Raw genomic sequence first — 25,097 nt, 5'->3', positions numbered from 1 at the left:
AAAATATTTAAAAGCTATCATGCAGCTGGACACGTTGGCTCACGCCTGTAATCCCAGCACTTTGGGAGGCTGAGGCAGGTGGATCACTTGAGGTCAGGAGTTCAAGACCAGCCTGGCCAACATGGTGAAATCCCATCTCTACTAAAAATACAAAAATTATCCAGACATGGTGGCAGGCACCTGTAATTCCAGCTACTCAGAGGCTGTGGCAGGAGAATCGCTTGAACCCAGGAGGCAGAGGTTGCAGTGAGTCAAGATTGTGCCACTGCATTCCAGACTGGGCAACAGGGCGTGACTCCGTCTCAAAAAATTAAAAAACAAAAAGTTAATAGTGTTTATTTCTGAGTGATGAAATTATAGATGACTTTTTATTTAGTTTCTTTTACATTATCTGTATTTTCAGTTTTTCTACAAGGGGCATGTATTATCTGTGAAACAAAGAAATTACGCGTCTTTTAAAGATGAAAGCAAAACATTTAATTAGGAAACAAAAATAAGTTAAAAGAAAAAATCTGAGAGATGTTTCTCTAAAAAATATAGATAAGCCTAACAATTTTGAGAACAAAAGAGAGAAGTATTTAAATAAGCAAATTAAATAATGAGAAATGGACTAAAACAACTAAAGTACATATTGTAATTAAAATATCATAAATAACATTAGATATATTTAAATGTCAGTGAACTAATAATTATCTGGAAATAAAGAAAATGGACTCTAATAAATTTATAAAAACGTGAATTAAGGTTTGGAAATGTTAATGATTGACCTTCCCCAAAAGGCTCTGGGTCCAGGGAGTTTTATAAAGTATTTATTTTAAACTTCCAAAGACTAGTAATCCCCATATCAAAAAATCTACTTAATTCATTTAATAAATATGGCAAAAATCTGACACTAGGATCTGACAATTGCAATATAAGAAAGAAAATTACATAGTCCCCTGTTATTCACAGAGAATGTGTTCCAAGGCTCTTTGTGGCTGCCTGAAACTGCAGATAATATTGAACCCTATAAATAATATGTTTCCTCCCATACATACATACCTATGATAAAGTTTAATTTATAAATTAGGCACAGTAAGAGATTAGCATCAATAACAAAAAATAAAATAGAACAAGTATAACAATATACTATAATAAAGATCATACAAATGGGTGTTCTCGCTCACTCTTTCTCTTGTTCTCTCTCAAAATATCTTATTGTACTGTACTGTGAATAACTGAAAGTGCAGAAAGCAAAATCATGGATAAGAGGGACCACTGTATAACCAATCACATATACAGAAGAGGACGTAAGTATCCTATATAAAATACTCATATAATTTAGTGAAAATTCAAAAGAATAATTAACAATGGCCTGGTTAGATGTATTCCTAAAATAAATGATGGTTTGATATTAGTACATCTATTAATAGAATATAGCTCTATGCATGTTAGTATATTAAAAAAGAAAAAACATCCTATATAATTATTTCAATAGATGACAGAAAAGCATTTGTTAAAGTCAACTTCCATTCCTGGTTTAAGAAACTCTAAGAGAGCTAGAAATAATAGAATGGCTCTGTAATATACTAAAGAATACCACTCTAAAATAAAATTACAACACTGATATACCAGACTCTCTACTGACTAGAGATATTCCTATTAAAATCAGGAGGAAAATAAGAATTACTGGAAATATCTGTCAAATAGAAGATTCAGACCTTTCCCAAACCACCTCTTTACCTATTTGCCTCCTTGACTTTCTCCTATTCAGGGCTCAGACAAGAGTGAAGCAAGTAAGGCCCCTGAAGTGCAGAATTGAAGGACATACTCACTCTTGGGGTTATGAAAGTTCAAGGTTGATAATCGTGTGACCCTGAGAGTGAGCACCTCCCTCCCTTAAAAGTCTCACTTGTCTCACCCTAGTTCCAGCCCTGCACGTATTTCTTCTCCTTGCAAACTCTACTAGCTCTTCCTCCTGACAAGCTAAAGTCAGCCAGTCTTTAGAATTTTATACGTTTCAAGAAGAAATTAAACAGCAGTCCCCTATGATTCACGTGTTTCTGAATTTTCCTACTTCTCCAATCGACTAAATCCTATTGAAGCCTTCCCCCCTTAACTGCTCTCTTTCTAAAGAAATCAAATTAACAAATTTCTCTATAGGTAATCCTCAAAGACCAGATCCCTTTATATTCACAACATATGTGAGAAAGTTAGTAGTTGGGAAATTAGTTTTCATATATATCTTATATATTATTTTAGGGTCTCAGACAAAACTTTTATTTTAATAATTTATTGCCAATTACTTGTTCTCTTTAGTTCAAAGACTTTAAAGAGTAAAATAAGGGGCTGGGCGCAGTGGCTCATGCCTGTAATCCCAACACTTTGGGAGGCCGAGGTGGGCAGATCACCTGAGGTCAGGAGTTCAAGACCAGCCTGGCCAACATGACGAAATCCCCATCTCTATTAAAAATATAAAAATTAGCTGGGCGTGGTGGCATGCAACTGTAATCCCAGCTACTCGAGAGGCTGAGGCACAAGAATCACTTGAACCCCAGAAGCAGAGGTTGCAGTGAGCCGAGATCGTGCCACTGCACTCCAGCCTGCGTGACAGAGGAAGACTCCGTCTCAAAAAAAAAATAAAAGAGTAAAATAAGATGATATATGATATATGTAGAAAATATTTTGAAGTGAGACTGTTCTATAAATACCAACTATTATTAATTAGTATTTCTTTTTTATCAAAATGTACTATATGCATATGGTCATTTATATGTTATTAGAATGGGGCATATCACAGGAGGAAAAAACTATTTTCAAAATAATATGGAAACTTAACATATAGAACTTTGGAAAAGCTGGCTGAGTAATATTACGATGCCTTTACTTTGCAGAATTCTACATATCCCATATCCTAAATCTATGTCCTATCCTCCTATGTGTTTAAACAAATCAAAACTGACAGTGAACAGACCTTTTTAATATGTTTCATGATATTTTATTCTAGGAGAGGCAAGTTCTTGCTATGGAACATGTTTCTCAAATGCATCTGAGGCTTTTTGTATTTAATGTTGCATCTCTAGATCGTTTTACAGATAAATTCATCTCATCATGAAACAATTTTCCTGAAACTATTTTGTATAGGACCAAGATACTACACACATAAATAAATATACAAGATACTACACACATAAATAACTTGCAGTGAAGGATACAAGATTTTTTTAATATAATAATAATAAATTAAGGTAAATAGAATCATATATATATTTTTTATCAATAAATGTCTGCCTAAACATCACTGACTTTTAGAAAATATTTTTAGCCGGGTGCAGTGGCTCACGCCTGTGATCCAAGCACTTTGGGAGGCCGAGGCGGGCAGATCACAAGGTCAGGAGTTCGAGACCAGCCTGGCCAATATGGTGAAACCCCGTCTCTACTAAAAAATAGAAAAAAATTAGCCGGCTGTGGTGGCGGGCGCCTGTTATCCCACCTACTCGGGAGTCTGAGGCAGGAGAATTGCTTGAACCCAAGAGGAGGAGATTGCAGTGAGCCGAGATTGCGCCACTGCACTCCAGACTGGGCAACAGAGCAAGACTCCATCTAAAACAAAAAAATATTTCTAACTATGGTGTTGATCAACATCTATTGAGTAATCTTTCCAAAGTTTTCCCTAGTGAATGGATGATTGCACTACTTACCTAATTGCATCATTGGTCTCTGAAACGACTTTCAGGTACTCTTTCAAATAATAATAATTAAAGAGGTACTTCCGAACCCTATAGCCTCGCCATCGTCTCTGAATCTATTAAAGTAAATAAAGAGATAAAATATGCCATTAAACACTTTTATTAAAAATGTAATAGCACTTCAAAATTAAGGTAATTATGGCTGATAACTCCTATCAAATAAAGTCTTGGGCTTTTCCACTAATATTGTAGCATATTAGTTGTAAATATAGGTTCTGCTCATAAATTTTTTATGAAATATTATAAAAATAAACATAATTATAGGCTATTATAATTTATTTTAAATTATTTATAATTATCTCACAGAATACTAAACTATTGAAAGATTTATAAAAATTTGCTTTACAAATTCCTACCATTTCCACTTCCTGGGCAAATCAATTTTTTTTTTCATAGCCAACTCACTTTAAGGTTGTATTTGGTCTCATTGAAATATACGTTTAGTTTTTGTATTTTGTCTTATTAATGGGCTTCTTAAATTCAGTGGTATCAAAATATTTAAACAAATTCTTGTATCTTAATTATGACATTTTAATTCTTCCTTAACAATAACAAAAATAGCTAACATTTATTGAGTTCTTATGTGCCAGGCACTATGTAAGGGTTCTTGCTTACATTTATTTAATCTTTAGAATACTCCTATGACATAAATACTCATTACCTCATTTACAGATGTGGAAACAGTTAAAAAGAGAGGTTACACAATTTTCCTATAATTATACAGCTATTAGGATGAATCCAGGAATCAAATTTCAAGTTAGGGCTTCAGAGAGCCCACTCTCGTAACCATTGCAATATAGAACTGGGAACAAAGAGAACTGTGATTTTCAATAAAAGAAAAGTTATATTGAAATTATCTGCTTCTTACATCTTTTACTTCAATGCTGACATTCAAATAATTTTATTTTTACTAGAACATATCATCAAAGTAGGGTGTTTTTTTTTTTTTGGATGAGAGGAATGTTAGGGGTCTGAGAGACCATACCTAAGTCAGCTTCTAGATATCTTATACAACCCCAGGAACCATGAGAATCAGTCACTGTCCTTAAGTCCTATCTTTGCTAATATAAATATCTTTGCTATATTTTCTAATACCCCTATCTGAAAAACTCAAACAAAATAATATATGATATTAATTAGGAAAAGATACCTGAAATTATTTAAAGGATTGGAGGAAAAAGAAATAGCACATATTGAAAAATACTAACTTAGTCTTGCGTAAAGATTTAGCATCATTCCTAAAATTTTCCAACCGTTTAAATATCTGTATGAATGACTCACGTATCATAAATCATTCCCTTTTTGGATATGAAGTCTTCCCGATTTTGGCACAGTTTGCTAGGCTAAGAGAACACACGTCTTCCCTAAACTTTTTTTTTTTTTAATAGGAAAGGGAAATATGGAGACTAAGCACCAGTCCATTGGGTTTCATCCCCAAAGCCTACTTTTTTTTAGCTAAAAAATATTTAGTATAAAATTTGTCTAAGTTGAATATTGGATCAATAAAAAATTAACCGGAAAAATTCTTTACTTAAATTCTGATTATTTTTCTCTGTTTTAAAACATGGCCATTTAAAAGGTCATTTATAATCATTTACAATTTAAGATATTAAACATGGCTGGGCATGGTGGCTCACACCTCTAATCCCAGGACTTTGGGAGGCCAAGGCGGGAAGATCACAAGGTCTGGAGTTCGAGACCAGCCTGGCCAATATGGTAAAAACCTGTCTCTACTAAAAATACAAAACAAAACCCTGTCTCTACTAAAAATACAAAACTGGGCATGGTGGTGTGCGCCTGTAGTCCCAGCTACTTGGGAGGCTGAGGCAGAAGAATCGCTTGAACCGGGGAGGCAGAGGTTGCAGTGAGCCGAGATTGCACCACTGCACTCCAGCCTGGGCGACAGAGCGAGACTCGGTCTCAAAAGAAAAAAAGATATTAAACATGAAGATTATAAGGGAGTGTTTTTGTCAGACTCCCCATATGAGAATTACTAAACTAACTGGAAATATGCAAAACAGCTTGCAAGAACAAGTAAATCAGAGAAAATAACTTTATTTTATTTTATTTATTTATTTATTTATTTTTGAGACAGAGTCTCGCTCTGTCACCAGGCTGGAGTGCAGTGGCGCGATTTCGGTTCACTGTAACCTCCAACTCCCTGGTTCAAGCGATTCTCCTGCCTCAGCTTCATGAGTAGCTGGGATAACAGACACATGCCACCACAGCCAGATAATTTTTGTATTTTTAGTAGAAACGGGGTTTCACCATGTTGGCCAGGATGGTCTCGATCTCTTGACCTCGTGATCTGCCTGCCTTGGCCTCCCAAGGTGCTGGGATTACAGGCGTGAGCCACCGTGCCCAGCCTTTTTTTTTTTTTTTTTTTTTTTTAACAGAGTCTCACTCTGTCACCCAGTCTGGAGTGCAGTGGCATGATCTCGGCCCACTGCAACCTCTGTCTCCTGGGTTCAAACGATTCTCTTGCTTTAGCCTCCAGAGTAGCTTGGACTACAGGCATGTGCCACCATGCCCAGCTAATTTTTGTAATTTTAATAGAGGCAGGGTTTCACCATGTTGGCCAGGCTGGTCTTGAACTCCTAACCTTAAATGATCCTCCCGCCTTGGCCTCCCAAAGTGCTGGGATTACACGTGTGAGCCACCACACCCAGCCAACAATAACTTTAGAAAGTGAAACTAGTAGTATAGCAAACTAATGTAACAAAAGTATTCAAAGTGTCTTTCAAAATACTTCTCAAGTGATCTTATTTGCCAGATCAATTCTTTAAAAAAAAATTCTAAAATTATATACTCAATTTAGAAACTCTCCCTAATTTTACCAATATTATATTATGGCTGAGAAAGAAAAAGAAGGAATTGATAGAACCACTTTCCTAATGAAAAAGAAGAATCAATTGGAATATGTATACATAATATAAATCATACATGCAAATAAGTGCATATTTTCCTAGCTTATCTAATTTGATCATTATAGCATCATTCTGAGGTGGAGATTATTATTAGCCTCATTTGATAGAAGAGGGAATTGATGTTTAGAAAGGTTAACTAATTGCCTAAGGTCATATAGCTGGTTGGATGGCTTCAAATCTTTCAGCATACTTTTACTGCATGTACAGTAACAATTTTATTAATGAAGGGAACACTTGTAAATACATGTACTGACAGGAAATCCGTCATCAGCAATAGAAGTTATTCAAGTTGCATAGGAAAATATTAAGATATCAAACAGTATTAAGGGAGGGGCTACCTATCACATGAAAATGTCATTAAATTATAAATAAAATAAGATTAAGTGTGCCAGAAAACACAAAAGATGCATGTTGGCATACTGAGAGGAAGGAAGAATGATGCGAGTTTATGATTTGGTAATATCAGAGAAATGGATATTCCCATTTCTAGGAAAGAGATGTTAAAGAAAAAAACTGAAATTGGCTGAAAAATTTGTGTTCAAGTAAGAAGAGTTTCCTGTAATTAAAAAAGAAAAAATCCAACAATGTGGGCTCTTTCCTTCTCCAAACCCAGCAACTATTGGAAAGAGCACCAACCATATCTAGAGAGACTACAACTGGTATGCTTTCAGAAAACATTCTAATGTCCTGACACCCTACACATATCTCCAAAGGCTGGCTAAAATTCCTCTCCAAGATAATTCCTTTTATTCAAAATTGGATATTAAAGAATGTAATAAGTAAGCGATGGTTAAGGTAACAAATTAAAACTCATCCACACTAAAGTATAATCAATCAGTCTTTAAGTGGCTTTCTTAGAGATGAGTGGGTAAAAAGATCTGGAGGAAACAGCATTTGAGTGGGTGAAGAAGATGCCATCAGTGAAATGAAGGATCTAAAATTTATTGAGCTCCATGAATGTGCCAGGTATTATGCTAACTGCTTTTATTCTCACAATATCCTTGTGAATAGGGCATGATCTCCATGTTAAAAATGAAGAAACTGAGGTTAAGTAATTTGCTCAGGGTCACATAACCAGTAAAACAGTAAATGGAAAGTCAGGATACAAACCCAGGTTTGTCTTACTCCAAAGCCCGCTCTTTCCACTTGAAACACCTTACATATATATTGTATAAAGAGAAAGAGTATATGCGTGTTCTTTAGTTTAAAATATGGTATTTTCTTATATTATAGGGAGACTAGTTTAACCAATAGCTAATTGATATTGTAAAATACAATATAGATGAGACTGTACTATATTTCCTATTATAGAAACAAATGACGTCTTAAATTTTGCCTATTCTGTTGATATTCCAGTACTAGTAAATATACTTTTAATTTTTTTAAATGTTCTTTCAAGCAGCAAGATGATTTTTATAAGATTTCTTCTTAATTTCAAGGTGAACGGGTTACTACTTCAAAAAAAAAAGAAAAATGATTTGTATTCATGTCCTTCAAAGTAATTAGCAACTTTCAAAAGTGATTGGTATAAAACAATTATTGTCATTGATCAGCTCTGAATAGATAATTTTAAACAAAGTCATTGTGTGCTCAGCAGATTACAGCTTGTTAACGGGCAAGTTCTAAATGACCTCTTAAGCTAGTCAAATCAATGATGCATATTCCTCATTAAGTAACATCAAAATGTAAGTGGTCTTATAAATAATGTTTATTTTAAGCACTAAAACAAATGGCAAAACCTTGATATATTAAAAGCCATCTGCCATAGAAAAGATTTTCCCTCCATTGGGTTTACTTTTATTCCTGAAAATCTATAGTAACCTTAATGCCACTAAAAGAAAAAATGTCTTCTCTCTTAACATGAAAAATGAAGGCATGGGGCCAGGAGCGGTGGCTCATGCCTGTAATCCCTGTGCTTTGGGAGGCTGAGGTGGGTGGATCACGAGGTCAGGAGTTCGAGACCAGCCTGGCCAACATGGTGAATCCCCATCTCAACTAAAAATACACAAAATTAGCTGGGCGTGGTGGCAGGAGCCTGTAATCCCAGCTACTCAGGAGGCTGAGGCAGGACAGTTGCTTGAACCTGGGAGGTGGAGGTTGCAGAGAGCCGAGACTGTGCCACTGCACTCCAGCCTGGGTAACAGAGCAAATCTCCATCTCAAAAAAAAAAAAAAAAAAAAAGAAAAGAAAAGAAAAATGAAGGCATGGAAAACAAATTCCTTGATAATAGCTCACCCAATACTCATGCTCTAAATGTATATGAGAGCACAGAAGTAGAACTCAGTTATTCATAATTATACTTTTATTAGAATGATCAACATTCTAAAAAAGATTGTACAGTGAGCACAGAAATGTGGGTTTACTAAATCTTCAAAGATTAGGAATGTAAAAAGTAGTAATATAACCCAAGTTTTCATTGTAGGTATCATTGCATTGTCACGTCACAACCATTTATATTTATACATAAAATATTATCATATGAAAATACAGTTTCACACATATAGGACGTATATGTGAAAATCTTAACTAGATATTTTTATCAAAAGATTCTGGATAATTATTAAATGTGCAGTTTCCTCTCTTTAATATTCTGTTTCCCCACTCTCACTAGCCTTATACTTCCTTTCTCTACAAATCTATTTAATCATTTCACAATGATATTGGTACTAGAAGTAGAAGGAGGGAGGAAGAAATATACTTTTACATGGGGATGGAACATTAGAATATCTATTCCATCATCAGGTAAAAGCTTGGTGTTGTCCAGATGGCCCCTTCTTTTCTTCCATAGGCTGATATTTTGGGATACCCTTTTTTGTATGAATAAAACTGTTATTCATTCTGTATGCCCAGAACAATAACATAATGTCTAGCATATAAAAGACCTTCCGTATCCTTTTTCTGAATTAACTAACCTATCTATCTCTAACTATGTAATCTCGGGGTCATTATTCTAAATACAAATGCTTACTTCATAGTATTATAAATATGAAAATAGTATGGTAAGTACTTTAAGGGATTGAGACGAATCTTTATATATCTGACACATATTTAATCATTTTTAAGTAAAGCCACCATATAATCTTTTCTAACTTTTTTTGTATTTTAGACACAAGTGGGAAACAAAAGAAAATGGTTACTTGATATATCAAGTTAGATTAATTTTTATAAATTAAAATTTGTATTATATGCGGAGAAAGCTCTAAGGGGAAATAAGCCAATAAAGTGATGTTATTTGGCAAATTTGTTGTTTAAATGACCTCTGTTCTACTGTTTCTCTTGTTACTATTGCTTCTGTTTCCCTAAATGTGAGCATTTCAATCTGAACAAAATTGTTTGGGGGCACTATAATCAAGTTAAATAATTTAAAATAATAAAGAATCAGTTGAAACTGTAGATTCCAGTGGAATTTCACTAAGCGAGTATAGGTGATTGATAAATAACAGGTATGGGGATTTCAGGGTAAAAGGAATTTTACTTGAAACAATTAATTACATCTGTAGTTCTTTAACATTCTGTAAGCTTTTGATTATTACCATTTTTTTCATTCCTCATAGATCTTTGAAACTAAGATAAAAACCTGTGACAGAATTCATTTTATAAGAGAGATCTCTAAGATGCTGCACACCAGCACTTCTTGAAATTTGCATTCATGTGATATTGCTCCAGTTGTTCTAGGGCAGACAAGCAAAGGAAGACTCAAGATGTATGACATGATACAAAGGAGGCTTTTCAAAGGCATTACAAGGAACAAATATTTCCCATAAAGTTTACCATTATTACATTCCAAAGTCTGTGACAGATTATATGTCCCCATTATGTTTAGGTTATTGAAGACTAGTATACTCTAAACATTAATTTAGAAACAGCAGTTGACTTTATCAGTCCTAGCAATAATTTTGTGATTGTTCCTAATGTTTTAAAAATGTTAGAGTCCCTTTTCTTTTCCATTGATGCTTCAGGGCCCAAAACAGGCACGGTAGAGGTATAAATGAAACTAAACACAGACTTTTAAATTTCAAAAATCTGTGTGATCTGCACCTTGGACTTCAACCAGCAAAGAAATGACAAATTCTCTTTGTTATCATTTGTTACATCCTCCTCAAAAATCCATTTAAAATTGGAGCAGGAAGGGTGTTTCATCTAGGCTTATGATGGATGACAAATCCTGATGCTGGCAATAGGAATAAGGGAGGCCACAGCCTGAATATTCTTTTAGATGGTGAGGTTTTTCGTCATGAGCCATCTAATTCTGCCTACAAGGGGAAGCATGTGACACTGCATTGGAATGCCTCAACTTACTCCTTAGTTAATTGTCACTTAATTTAGAATTCCTGCGTGAAATGTACTACCAATAAGGATGCTCATGAATTATCAGGCCACAAGGTCAGTTTTCCAAGTAAACAGGGTATGAGTAATAAAATGTCCCTAAGAGCTGTCTAGGTCAGTATAGTTGTTCTCATCCATATTTTCAGAAAAAGAGGATTGGAAGTAAAGCCAAGATTAAAAGTGACCAGCAATGGCAGAAATGTGAGTGCCAGACCTCCTGGGTTCAATGTCTAACACTTTCATTTACTAGCTGTGCGATTTGGGGCAAGATACCTTTCTGTGATTCCCTTTCCTCATATTTTAAGTTGTAATCTTAATGATACCTATACCTCAGAGAATTAGTTATGATGATTACAGAGAAAAGTTAAAATATTTAAAATACTTAGAATGGTGCCTGGAAAGTAGTAACTGCTATACAATTGTTAATTCATTATTAGTATTTACCAGTGGTTCTGACCTACCAAGATTTGGCAATACATGACATGGCAATCTTTTTCTTGCCTAGCTTCAGAGATCCATTTTGTTTTTCAAAAATTAGCAGCCACAATAATTTACCTACAATTGAACTCTTCGTAGGATACTACAAGACAATGAACATTTCATATCAGAAATTGGTGTCAAAAGTATGAATTGCAACACAGACAACAATATGAAATGGGCATAAAACAAAGTTGAAGTGGACAGATTAGCAATTTGTCTTTTGAATTTACAAACATTAGTGTAAACTTTATTAAAGAAACAACTATGTTTTAGGAGAATTGCAGGGCATTCAGCTGAAAACTGAATTTCACAGTGTTATATCCCATTTAGGAAAAAATAAGTATAATTTTCCCCCCACACTCTGACACACTGTAATCTCACTCTTGGAACATTACTAATCTACTTTCCATCCTCCTTCTCTACAAACCTCAACATATCCATATAATTGCGGCAGGAGTCAGACAAATGCCTTGGCAGATAGAAGGGGTCCAGTGAAACCCCACCTTCAAGCCAAAAACAGCTGGAGGGCTGAAAGACCAGACTGCTGCTTCCAGATAAAATCCGTGACCCAGAGTGAGAACTTCTGTTCTTGTTTGCCTACCCTTTCCCAATTGGTTCTTTCCCAATAATGTTTTTTAACCAGTCAAATATTGCCTTTTCCAATACTACCTACAGCTCCCCTCTCCCCTATCCTGTGCCTATAAAAATCCCAGACTCAGCCACACTAGGGGAGACGACCCAACTTCAGGTGAGAGACCACTTTCAGGCATCTGCTCCACATCATAGGAAGCAATGGTGGGGCCAAACCAGCCCTGGAGCCACAGGCCAGAGCAGGGCAAGGGACCGAACCAGCTGTTAACACTTCACCATCCATCCAGCTGCAGATGGCAGAACTAAAAGAACTAATTAGCATGTTGTAACACCCCTTCTGGGGCTTCGGGGCTGTGGGCACCTCTGCTTGGGCACCACCGTGTTCCCCTTGGGCAACACACCTAGAGTGGCTGCAAGCCCTGCAGGGAGGCTGCCCCTGTGCTGGTGTTGAGAATGGCTGGCCAGACCCTGCACTCACTTGCTCACACACACTCTCCTGCCAGGGACTGAGCATGCAGTCGCAGCAGCCAGCAGCTGGAGCACAAGCCAGGCACAGCCAGGCAGGCTGAGTAGATGAGGCACCTCCTCCTATAATCCCTGCAAAACGACCAAGAAAAATCCTGCATCACAAATCAAAAGAGCATTGATCTAGAAGAGGGTATAAATAAAATAAGAAGTCCTTAGAAAGAGGGAGAACCAAAGAAACAGAATCCACTGAAGTCTGGCCAGAGCTCAGTCTAACTGAAGTTCAGAATCTGGGGAGTTCCCTTTTTTAAATCCTTGCTTCCTCACTGGAAGTCAGTTTGACTACAGTACACTTAGGTATCCCCCAGCTATAGCTATTTATTCTCAGGGAATAAGTTTCAGAATCTGGAGTCATTCTATTGGAAAAATAGAGACTTCAGCAACAAGGTTGAGGCTGAATGTATGTAATCTTGGTCTTGGGTTATTTTCCCCCTGCAAATATAAGAATTGGGTATAAGATATATGTCATTTTGAATGAGAGACTTCTTCCTGGATGGGGTCAGCCAATCAGCAAAAGCCATAAGCAAGAGAAAACACTAAATATTGAAAACTATGAATCAAGGTAATGGGAAAAAGGGACAAGAAATAGACTTTAGGATGGAAAAAACAATTCCACGAACCTCTACTCTTTTGCTACCTGGGGATATTTTTAAATGGGTTTTCCCCACATAAGTAATTCTTACCCTCATCTTTGTAATATTGCCAGGAACCGGACTCTCTAAGCCCAGTATTTGGAGGGCTAAGATGACACCCAAGTGCTCACTATATAGAAAATGGAGGGTGAGTTTTACACAAGGCTGTCAGAAGATATACAGTTGTACATCTAGATGGCAGAGGGAGAGAAATGACTTGTGCAACTGAATCAGCTCATGGCGTTTGCATAAGATATTAACAGCTGTTCAAAGAAAGAGAACTGAAAATAAAAGTTGGGGGCCAAATTTAAATAGGATCCACAATGGAGTAGAAAAGATGCTGGAAGAAAAGCAGAACTCTAATCTGGAGTAAAGTCAAATTGAAGACTAAAAAGGAAATAAAGTGTCACAGAGAAACAGGAGGAACAGGGCCCCAGGAGCTAAGATAAAAATTTACTGAGCAATTTATTGCTATATTAATTGACTGTCACTGGCCTAGCAGCAAATCAGCAACAGGGGTTTTGTAAAGGCATACTGTGGGTTCTGACAGCAGCTTATATCACAGCAAACCTCCTTCAAATCGGTGTGTGTTATGATACTTGAGCAAAATCCTTAATCTCATGAAGTCTTCCATTTACATACGAACTGCACAAACTAAATTTTACCTTACCAAATCCAGTTTATCTACATCATTACAGTATAGTCAGATAATCAAAAAAGGCTTAAAGATCCCCCAGCAAAGGCTTAAATAAGTTGCAACAAACACACTTTGAAACTTAGAAAAAACGTGTTAAAGTAAAGGACTTTTTTTACTCCTTGTTTAGAAAAGAATGGGCCAGCATTCATTGATTTATTCAGGGATATTTATTTAACCACCTACTATAAGCCAAGCATTGAAGATACAAAGATGAAGATAGGATCTGGGCCGCATGAGACTTATAGTGTACAGGGGAGCAGGGGGTGGTGGGGTGGAGACAGGCATGTAAATTAGTAAGGATAATAAAATGTTACAGGTTCTATAACAGAAGTATGTCAATGGTAAAATAGGAACATAAAAAAGGAAAGTGATAAATTCTACAGGGGTAGGGGGATCATAAAGTCTTTAGAGAAAAGGTGACCCTTTAAAAAATAAATGCAGCAAATCAGGATATTAATAAATATTACATAAAAGAAAATCACATACATATAATTTGTTCTTCATTACAAAAGACTGATATCTATTTAGGGATGGATAGGCTATAAATAAATTTGTAAAACTCCTGCCATTTCAGAAATGCTCCACTAGCCTCTTTGACAATTGAATACATTTTAGTTGTCATGGTAGCAATCAATAGCCAAATATATATAACTTACAATAGGCTTTGTTCATAAGGAAAATTAAGACAAAAGTTTTGTTCTTATGTACTGTACATGAAGGTCTTATTCATAATTTGGGTACATATATGTCTGTCTGGATATTATTGGCCATATAGATATTTGGTAGTTATCTGTTACCCTTAGAGATTCTTTCTTTTGAACACTCGCCATTCATGTTTAAATCACTTCTAGTTTTGAACTAAGTTACCAGGTAGCTTATGAAATGAAAAAGCAGAATCGTATTTATTAGAAATAAAACTTCAGCTACTGGTATCCAATTAGGATTGTAATCTTCAGATATACACAACACAAAGGTATCTGGGCCACACACTGGTCTCTTTGGCCACTCACTCTTGAAAGTAGCAGAATTTTAAGAGTGCCATCTTGCAAAAATCCACTTACAAATAAATTGGCTGGAGTCCACTGACAGCTTCAGTTCCAGTCACTGGTCACTTGGATCAACCAATGCTATAAACTTATTGTTGTTGGGGAATCACTTATGGTCTTTCTGCCAGTGAGCCTCATTTCTGATTCCTCAACTCAGGAACATGAAATAGCACATAGTCTACTACCAAGTTAACCCATCTCAAACCTCTGAAGAGTGACTTTGAACTTCTTTGTTAGAGAAATGTCTCTATTATAAATTTCCCATAGTAACATTTATGTGCTCCACATAGCCTCACAGAAATTCCTGAGTGTCATTAGTGGATCGTTCCAACCTCTAGGTAAAGCCTAAGTCTTCGCTCCCCTCACTTTAATCCCTACCGCATTCCCACCCCTATGCTTCTCTCCCAAAATGTTGTTTTGGAGAGAAAAGGCAATAAGGAGGAGGATAGGAGAGGACAGGAGAGGCAGGGAGGGGAGAAGACAGAAGGAGAAGAGAAAGGAAGGGGAAGGGAAAAAGGATCCAGAATTATAAGGGAGAGACTTTATTGGAAAGGAGTATTGCAAGAGGAAGTGGGAGGGTGACTACTGCAATCTGCAGAGGCAGACTACTGCATAGGGAGAACACTTTGACCACGAAATTTATAAGCAAGTTAAGAGGAAGGCAAAAAGAATTTTTCTTTCATAGGAAGGTATAAACAAGGCTAGAAGGAATCTGAGGTGGAGAAGTGGGATAAGAGGGTGGCATGACTGAATAGTAGATCAGAGAATCTTTTATCCTGAAGTCAGTCTATTATTAGGAGAGGATGTTAAGGAGATGCTACATGCAGGCCAATGTTCAGGGACATAGAGGAGGGAGAGAAGTTAAATCACAGGTTGGTTAACAAACATTTTGTTCCAATTAGTCAGTAGGAACAAGCAACTCAGCTAATCATTTGTGAGGTAAAGAATGGAAATTTGGAGGGAATGCATCTAGCCTTGTCATAGGTAAAAAAGTGGGGCATCCCCATATATATCTAACTGATACAAGGGAAGAGTAACTTTTTTCTTTTTCTTTTATAATTATTATTATTATTTTGCAGTAAGCTGTTTCTAAAACAGAAAAGGGTGTGGGGATTTCTTTTTTTTTTTTTTTTTTTCCTGAGACGGAGTCTTGCTCTGTCACCCAGGCTGGAGTGCAGTGGTGGGATCTCGGCTCACTGCCACTTCCGCCTTCTGGGCTCAAGGGATTCTCCTGCCTCAGCCACCCGAGTAGCTGAGACTACAGGTGCCCATGACCATGCCCGGCTAATTTTTGTATTTTTAGTAGACACGTGGTTTCACCATGTTGGCCAGGCTGGCCTCGAACTCCTGACGTCAGGTGATCCACCCTCCGTGGCCTCTCAAAATGCTGGGATTATAGGCGTGAGCCACCATACCCGGCCAGGTGTGGGAATTTCTTAACCTTTGTTGTTTTCCAGGATCACAAGACTCAGGTAAAATTCAACATTGCCCATTGACATTAATCAAAGATAAATTGACATTGGATGATGCTATTGGAAAATTGAGCTTTTAGTATATGTTGGAATAAGTAAAAAACTGCCTTCCAAGGGACTTGTACTGACGTGAATTTCTTACATATGTTTAGTCTAGGTAAAAGAAACCTTAATAAGCCAGACCAGAACTCAATATGAAGGTTTGAGGTAAAATAATACACAAAAGTACGCACCTTTCTAACTCTATCTTCTGTGCTTCTCCCTAGAAGCGCAGAAGGGAGGGAGGATCTCCTTCTACAGTCTCCCCTGGTGATCAGTGGAAATAGCTAAATGGGCATTAACTGCTTTAGGTTCTCAGTCATCTATGACTTTTTATTTTGGAGATACATCTGACATGAAGTAAGAAGAAAAGAATCAATGGTGTTTTAGTCTCAGAGGTTAAGTTTATAGCAAAGCTGTACAAAACCTCTGAAATTCCCAGACGAAAGTATTCCCTTTAAAAGAGAAAAATTGAATTGTTTTCCTATATGAATATTACTGAGAAAGGCAAATAGCCTATTGCAGCTAGATTTTCTGCCTCTGGCTCAAGAAAAGCAGCAGGAAGATCTACTTCTTCCTTTTATATTTTTCCTCAAACTCCAGGAGAACAAGCAGAGAGGAGGATGAAGAAATACTAGAGTGAGCTGGCTAGACTACCAGCACGCTCACCTGAAAAGGAAAGAGCCTCTTTCTAAAGCAAAACACATAGTCAAAATAATGTTAACTTAGCCACTATGGTTCACCCCAGCACTTTCAGAAAGGATTTTACTACCTTGCCTCACTCAAAATAAAATCCATTATTTGCAGAAGAACTAACAGATTAATGAAAAAGAATATAAGGCAACATAGATTTTAAGGACAATAATGAAATTCACTTAAGAAATTTCTCCATTTATAATAGCTTAGCAATTAAATTATTATCATATTGTCTGAAACAAAAGAAATAATATTTTTGTTATGTCCATTCCCAAGATCAGTGCAGAAACCGAGTTCAAGCTCCATAATTGCTAAATTCAGTTTTCTATTAGGAAAATAACACATTAAAAATGAACACAGAACTGATAGAAATAAAACTTCAAAGCTGGAAACTGACTTCATTACTGTTAAATCATATGAATAATTTCTAATTGATTTGTATTGGGCAGGAATCTTATATTTCACAACCATGTTCATCTATTTATCACAATGTATTCTATATGATATATGGAAACTAATACATTGCTTCATTAATATTTAAGTCTTTCTCTAGTTATGGCTCAGAGATATTCAACATTCTAAAACATAAGCATTTATAATTACATGTTTTACATTTTACTCTAATTTTTAATACTGCCAAGATTATTTAGCATAACTAACTTTTTAACTACATACTCTTTCTCTCTTTACCATTAGCATATCAATCAAATTTGCATTATTCTGCTTTGCTCATTTTATTAAAAGCGAATTCAGGGCACAATTGACTTTTCATTTGTTTAACAAGTGAAGAAATATTTACCCTGACAGCCATTGCATTGTAGAGATTCATCATCATAGTATAATATGCTACCTGTGAATCAAGAAAAAAAGATGGCATGCATTTCAGTTACACAAAGACAGTGCAGCCTATTTTTACATATAAAAGATAAGAATCTTTATACATAATACATAATAAGAGTTCTAGCCTTAGAAAAATGAAATCAAATGTTGTATTGAAGAGATAGGCTTCCTAATACATAATGCAAGCTTAACCAGTAAAAATCTATGGTAGTCAAACTAGGAGCTAATGGAGATATATGATCATAAAATGCTCTCTGCTGAGTTTGATAATCAATGGTGCTCTACTGAGAATAGAATAACAAAGCAGAAATATTCACAAGTGCTGGTGACATGTAGTATTGTATGATTTATTCACTGGGGTTCTTTTAGCCAAACCTCACAGAAACATAAAAGGAATTCATATTTCAAGACGTCTGGTTTAATGAAAAATTCAAAGAAATGCTGTCTTCAGTTGAAATCGTTCAAGGATATGGATGCAGTGATGGAGCAAAATTGTGCCTTCCAACCATCTATGCAAAATGTTATGTACTTAGCTGCCTCCTGAGTAATCCTTGGGAATTTTGTTTCATTTAATATTCATTTTAACACCATAAAATCATAAATACAATGATATCATGTTACAGCAAATCCCTTGATATAGTGAAGACTTCCTGAAGTGTTGGTTTCTCTCTAGTAAAGACACATCTACATATTAATATACAAATTTCTGTTACAGTAAGTCATTCAACAATGTAGCTTATTTCAATGAAAATATTCTTTAAATTAAGCTTCCCCATCTGCTCTTTTAATTAAAAATATAAAATTAATATAATTCATGACAGTACAATAAACAATAAAAGCAATGAGATACATATTTTTAACATGGTATACAACTTTATCCATTTTTATTCAACCAAAATTTATTCACTATAACTTGAGCCCAGGTAATAATTGTTATGTTTCAGGCAAAAATCAGAAAAAAGTGCCTTAACTCTTTATAAAGGGGCTTTCTGCCCCATGACAAACAGAAATTCATATAAAAGGGTTTCACTGTAATTAGTGTTGTTTGAATTGCCTGGTCTGATCCAAAGCAAATTGTCTGTGGAGAGCAGCAGGGCTGGATTATTTATCAACAGTCTGAGCAATTAAGAAACAGTTGGCTGCAATATGTTATTTACAAATGAACACAACAACATTTCTTCATTTTAAATTCTCTTTCTTCGTGATTGTAAGCAAGGCGTAATTGGTGTTTGAGGTGATTTAAAATATTTACTTTAATAGTGTACTTCTTGACATCATATTGAAGCAGACATTGCTATTAAACATTTCTATAAAGAAGAAATACGTTGGATATTATATATTTCCAAGAGTTTGGGTTCAGAAAAAGATGTTTCTTGTCTTTATCATATCATTGTTTAGTTAACAGTAGAGTGAATGTGTGAGCTTTTGAGTCACAGACCTGTGTTCAATTCCTGGCTTTGCTTTTAACAGCTGTGTGGCCGTGAACAACTTACTGAAAGTCTCTCAGTCTTGATTTCCATTCTTAGAAAACTGGTCATTATATGCTTCATTGAGTTGTCGTGAAGACTAAAATGAGATCAAGTATCTAAGGTGCTCAGGACATAGCTAATAGTCATTATGAAAGGGATTATCAGTAGTGCTCACATTACACATTTTGTAGTTAAAAGTATGTAATTTAACTATAAGTAAAATTCTAGGCCAGGCATGGTAGCTCATGCCTGTAATCCCAGCACTTTGGGAGGCCGAGGCAGGCGACTCACGAGGTCAGGAGTTCGAGACCAGCCTGGCCAACATGGTGAAACCCCGTCTCTACTAAAACTACAAAAAAGTAGCTGGGCGTAGTGGCAGGCGACTGTAATCCCAGCTACTCAGGAGGCTGAGGCAGGAGAATCTCTTGAACCTGGGAGGCGGAGGTTGCAGTGAGCCAAGATCAAGCCACTGCATTCCAGCCCAGGTGACAGAGTGAGACTCCGTCACAAAAAAAAAAAAAAAAAGAAAAAAAAAAGTAAAATTCCAAAAAGTATAAAAGGCTCAATTTTATTATGAACTAACAGGAAAAAAAGATTCAGATTTTGAAATAAAGAATTCTGAATCCTGTAGTTAAGAGGTGAGAAAGCACTTTGATTCTCACATATCATTCTTAAGTGAACCACTAATTGATACCACATTTATTCTCAATTGTCTAGCCCAGATGCTTTAGAAAGTACTGAAAGAAGCATATGCAACAAAATATTTTATTATTCCACTTACATGAGGTACTAGAATAGTCTAATTCATACAGACAGAAAGTAGAAAGTGGTTACTAGTGACTGGAGGGAAGGGAGAGTTATTATTTAACATGTACAGAGTTTCAATTTGGGAAGATGAAAAAGTTCTGGAGATGAACAGTGGTGATGGTTATGTAACAATGTGAATATACTTAATGCTACTGAATAATACAGTTAAAAATGATTGAAGTGGTAAATTTTATGCTACACATATTTTACCATAATTTTTTTAAAAACTAAAAAAAAAAACACATGTAAATGTGAACCGCATTTCCATAAGCTTTCTAAGAGATACATATAAACACTTCAAACTTTTGTAAAATTTTATCTTTGTTTTTCCATTCTGAAAATGATGATTATTTGTTATATTAACACTAACCCTTTGGGTTACTTGAACACTTAAAATATAACTCATAGAAAGGCTCTAGTTCTTAAAAAATTATTTTCTAGAATTCTGACTTAAAAGTTTTGTTTTTTTCATTCCATGAAATTGGGTGAGGAAAGCATATTGTACCTACGGAATGTTAATAACATATCCAAGAATGACAAGCCATTTTAATGTCTCAGCAGACAAAATTCTTATTTATTAATTACCTATTCCTTTATCATCAAGATATCAAGTCTACTTTAAAGGGGAAGATGAAAGATCTCGGGCGAAAATTAAGTATAAAAGAAGTAGATGGTTTTATTGTAGTGGAAACATGGTGCTCAATTTTAGATGTTCACCAAATATTTGTTGAATAAATGAAGAAAAAGAGGGAGGGGAAAAGAACAGAAAAGATAGGGAGAATTGATGTCTTGCATTTACATCAGATAGGATAGGAAGAATTCCTGGGATTAAAAAATAGCATTTGAACATTATCAGCCATTTGTTAGCTCTATGTGGCCTTTGTCATATTACCTAGCTCAATTTTTAGAAAGCTTCTGAAATTTTTTAGAAGGAATATATTCCTTTTGAAAACATAATTAATTTTCTGACTGGTTGATATCCATATGGATCTTTTAGACAGGGCTCTTATTCAATGGAATTAGACCACAGAGGTTATACTTATTATTTATAACTGACGTCCTTTCTGATTTGTTGTCCATGAACTGTGATGACTGACCCAACTGTATACATGGCTGAGTATTTTGAATGTTATCCTGCCTGTAAGACAAACTTCTGAGAACCCAGTCCCACCACTGGCCATGTTGGTTTTCTATTTTATATTGAGGACTTGATTCTTTCATTTTTACCTATCATTTCCAACTAATCCCTGGGCTTTGTCAAGTCTTCTTTTCCTATGACTGAACAACCTACAGTCTTCATACCTGCTTAATCTTCTGTTTAATCCATTTGGAACAGTTCTTCTAGATTAATTTTGTAAAGTATTGCTTTTATCAACTCCTTTTTTGAATTTTTAAGATCATAGACTTTCAATAGTTTCCAATTGCTTAAAGCAAGGCATCCTAATTGGGCTGATTGATGTAACTAACACACTTGAGTATTTCAGATCACTAGGAGAGAGAGAGATGTATAGTCACAAGCTAAGGCACATGCCACTTAACTTTTTATTTCTCTAGTACGATAATGATTACTGATGAGAGTATATCCCATATTTAGGTTTATTTTTTCTCTATCAAGTGAATTACAACGTGGGTGGGGGACAAATGAGAACTACTCTCTTACAGGTCAAAGTGATAAGCAAAATTCACCACAATCAAGTGCCAGTTGTTTTTTTTCCAATTATCCCTCCCTATTCCTTTCCCTTAAACCTCAATCTGATCAAATTACTGCACGTTTTTTTCTTCTCCCTTTCATATTCATATGACTTTGCTTGTCTGAAATGTCTTACCATTCCTTTTTAGCTGTCCAAATCCTATCTCCCCTGTTTTCCTTATAAGCATTTATTTATAGGAGAAACTACCTTTTCTTCCCTACTACGAGTGCTACCAACTGGAATAAGAAGCTAGCATTCTCCTAACTCCAAAGGGTACTTTCAAACCATTTCAAACCAGTAGGATGAACTTCTTTAAATAAATAAATAAAAGAACCCATTTCTAATCTGAGGTTATTCAACTTTATTACTGTCTATTCCTTTTAGGTGTTCTTATCCTTCCTTAGGCTTCTGAATCACACTATCCTCTATCTCTCCTTGTTGCCCTCCCAACCTGCTCCCGCTATAGGGTATAAAGATTTTGGGCCGGGTGTGGTGGTTTACGCCTGTATTCCCAGCATTTTGGGAGGCTGAGGTGGGCAGATCACTGGAGGTCAGGAGTTTGAGACCAGCCTGGCCAACACGGTGAAACCCCGTCTCTACTAAAAATACAAAAAACAAATTAGCCAGGTGTGGTGGTGAGCACCTGTAATCCCAGCTACTCAGGAGGCTGAGACAGGAGAATTGCTTGAACCTGGGAGGCAGAGGTTGTAGGGAGCAATTGCACCACTGCACTCCAGTCTGGGCAACAGAGTGAGACTCCATCTCAAAAAAAAAAAAAAAAAAAAAGATTTTTAACACCTAGGTTAAAGTCTTACACTTCATTGGAACTTCTGCCACCATCCCAAGACTTTTCATATTCATGTCAACAGCACATTCAATTCCCTAATCTCACAATTACCCACCTTTTCCAGTCCCAATGACCCCACACTTCAGTTTAGCCTTATATTCTCAAAACATGCTCCAGACGTTGTCAACTTTGACTGTTCCACCTACTGTTTTAAGCCCAGACTGCAAATTCTTCTCCGTAAAGCCCTGGAGGCTTAATTTATATTAAAAGACTGTTTCACCCACTCTAAACAAATCTAGTATGGATCTCTTCTTTTCCTCAGTTTTAAAATCCTTCTTCGCATATTTTCATGTACAATATACAATAACTGCATGGTGTTTTTTGTTATACGAACATACCATAAGTTATTTAATCTTTCCTTTATTGTTGAGCATTTTGGTTGAAAACCAAGAAAATATGAGCTTCAAGGATGAAATAATCAACCATTTCAAGTGCAAAACATTTAAAGTAATATGTATTTATAATAATTTTGAGTAATTTATCTAGATGACACGATGAGATCAACTGGCATCATTTGCTAGATTGAAAAATACAAAAGAAATATATGCATTAAAGTGATGAGAATGAAACCTTTAGAAGCCATGCACAATGGATAACAGATCTGATGAGCCTGAGTTTTTGTTATTTTCCATATTAGGGCCATCGACATTTCATAATTTTGAGTATAATCATTAAATTAATTTCTAATCAAGTAATTATGAGTATTTTGTGCATATGCTTTGCCTTGTTTGCTGGCAATTGATAACAATTTGGTCATTATCAACTGTTCTTTTTTTTTTTTTTGAGATGGAGTTTCACTCTTGTTGCCCAGGCTGGAGTGCAATGGCGGGATCTTGGCTCACTGCAACCTCTGCCTCCCAGGTTCAAGCGATTCTCCCGTCTCAGCCTCCCGAGTGGCTGGGATTACAAGCGCGAGCCACTATGCCTGGCCAATTTTTGTATTTTTAATAGAGACAGGGTTTCACTAAGTTGGCCAGGTTGGTCTCGAACTCCTGACCTCAGGTGATCTGCCTGCGCTGGCCTCCCAAACTGCTGGGATTACAGGCATCAGCCACTGCACCTGTCCTGAACAGTTCATTTTTAAAATATCATTTTTTCCATAAAAAAGAATTAAAAGCCAATTATATTCTTTCTCCCAGTTACCAGTAATATTATCTTTAAGATTAGGTGAACCAAATCTAAACTTATATTATAATTATGATAAAAATGTGTTGTTAAAGTTTTAAATTAATATTAGTAACTCAGAGTCTTAAGCTGTCCTGTCTTTGAAGTTTAGACCCTAAGGAAAAAATATATATATGTTTCAGTTTTCTGGTATTACACTAAAAGGTGAAGAATGCTGCCTTATTATCTTATAACTGATTTGGAAGTCCTATAAAGAAAAATATCAAAAATATTGGGCATTTTCTCATCTAAAAATAAACATGTGTTCATCTAATGAAGAGAAATAAAAACATCTGTGAAAGCAACAATGTCAATCTCTTATCACTTTTAAAACTAGTGACTGGTATTTTATACATTTTTGCCAACCATGAAAAGATCAAATTGTTGGCTTTTATCGTAACAACATACAATGGAATTTGATGGTACATGTCATCATTTTTCCCATTTAAAGTTAATAAAACTTTCATTGTTCCTCTTTTAAATAATCATATATGAAAACATTGAAAGAAGTGTTATAATGGTAAGCCATGTATGAATACTGGGAACCTTGATTTCATCAGTATATAATGTTATTTTTATAATTTGAATAATTTCTCTTTTTAATCATAATCAATCTTTGTAAATTAAATAGTTCTACCATAGGCTATTAATACATTTCAACAAAAAATTTAATTAAATTGAGTTTTAATGTGGTTGCCATACATATGTTATTCACTAGATGATCTCAATTTAAAAACGTAACATTGACCTGTCTAGGACTACAGTTATATATAATTATTTTATAACACCTCATATCAAACTAATTATATACTACAATAGCCTTTATACTTCTCTGCTCTCAGACTATGGTGATTCAAAAGTAGCACATCTGATATTAAACATAATGTAAATTGGGTAATGACAAAATATAAAAAAGGAAGGCAAATTTAAAAATATAACAAAATGTATACAAGCCATCCAATTTAGTTTTTACAGATAAATGCAGTCAGGGAACTCTCAAATTGTTAGTGCTCTTAAAAGAAGCAAATGAAAGGATATTTCTACATTTTTGTGGTACTATTGCTTAAAAGAATGACTTATTTTTATTTCCCCATTTATGAAACGAATGGAGTAAGGAAGG

The 25,097-nt window shown here is 35.5% G+C and overlaps 1 protein-coding gene across 3 annotated transcripts in view; it reads right to left on the bottom strand.

The window, feature by feature from the left end:
• SPATA17 (spermatogenesis associated 17) overlaps nt 1-25,097 on the bottom strand; it is a 240,353-nt gene that overhangs the window by 184,655 nt on the left and 30,601 nt on the right. For all 3 annotated transcript variants that reach the window (NM_001375655.1, NM_138796.4, XM_011509194.4), the window contains exons 4-5: nt 17,959-18,009; nt 3,681-3,784 (exon numbers count right to left, since the gene is read on the bottom strand). In NM_001375655.1, coding sequence (NP_001362584.1) covers nt 3,681-3,784; nt 17,959-18,009 — 155 coding nt within the window. The remainder of the gene's footprint in view (nt 1-3,680; nt 3,785-17,958; nt 18,010-25,097) is intronic.

This window comes from Homo sapiens, chromosome 1 (genome assembly GCF_000001405.40).
Source record: "Homo sapiens chromosome 1, GRCh38.p14 Primary Assembly".
NCBI classification, from domain to species: Eukaryota; Metazoa; Chordata; class Mammalia; order Primates; family Hominidae; genus Homo; species Homo sapiens.
Note: the sequence above shows the minus strand (reverse complement) of the source record. Positions and strands in the feature narration are given on the sequence as shown.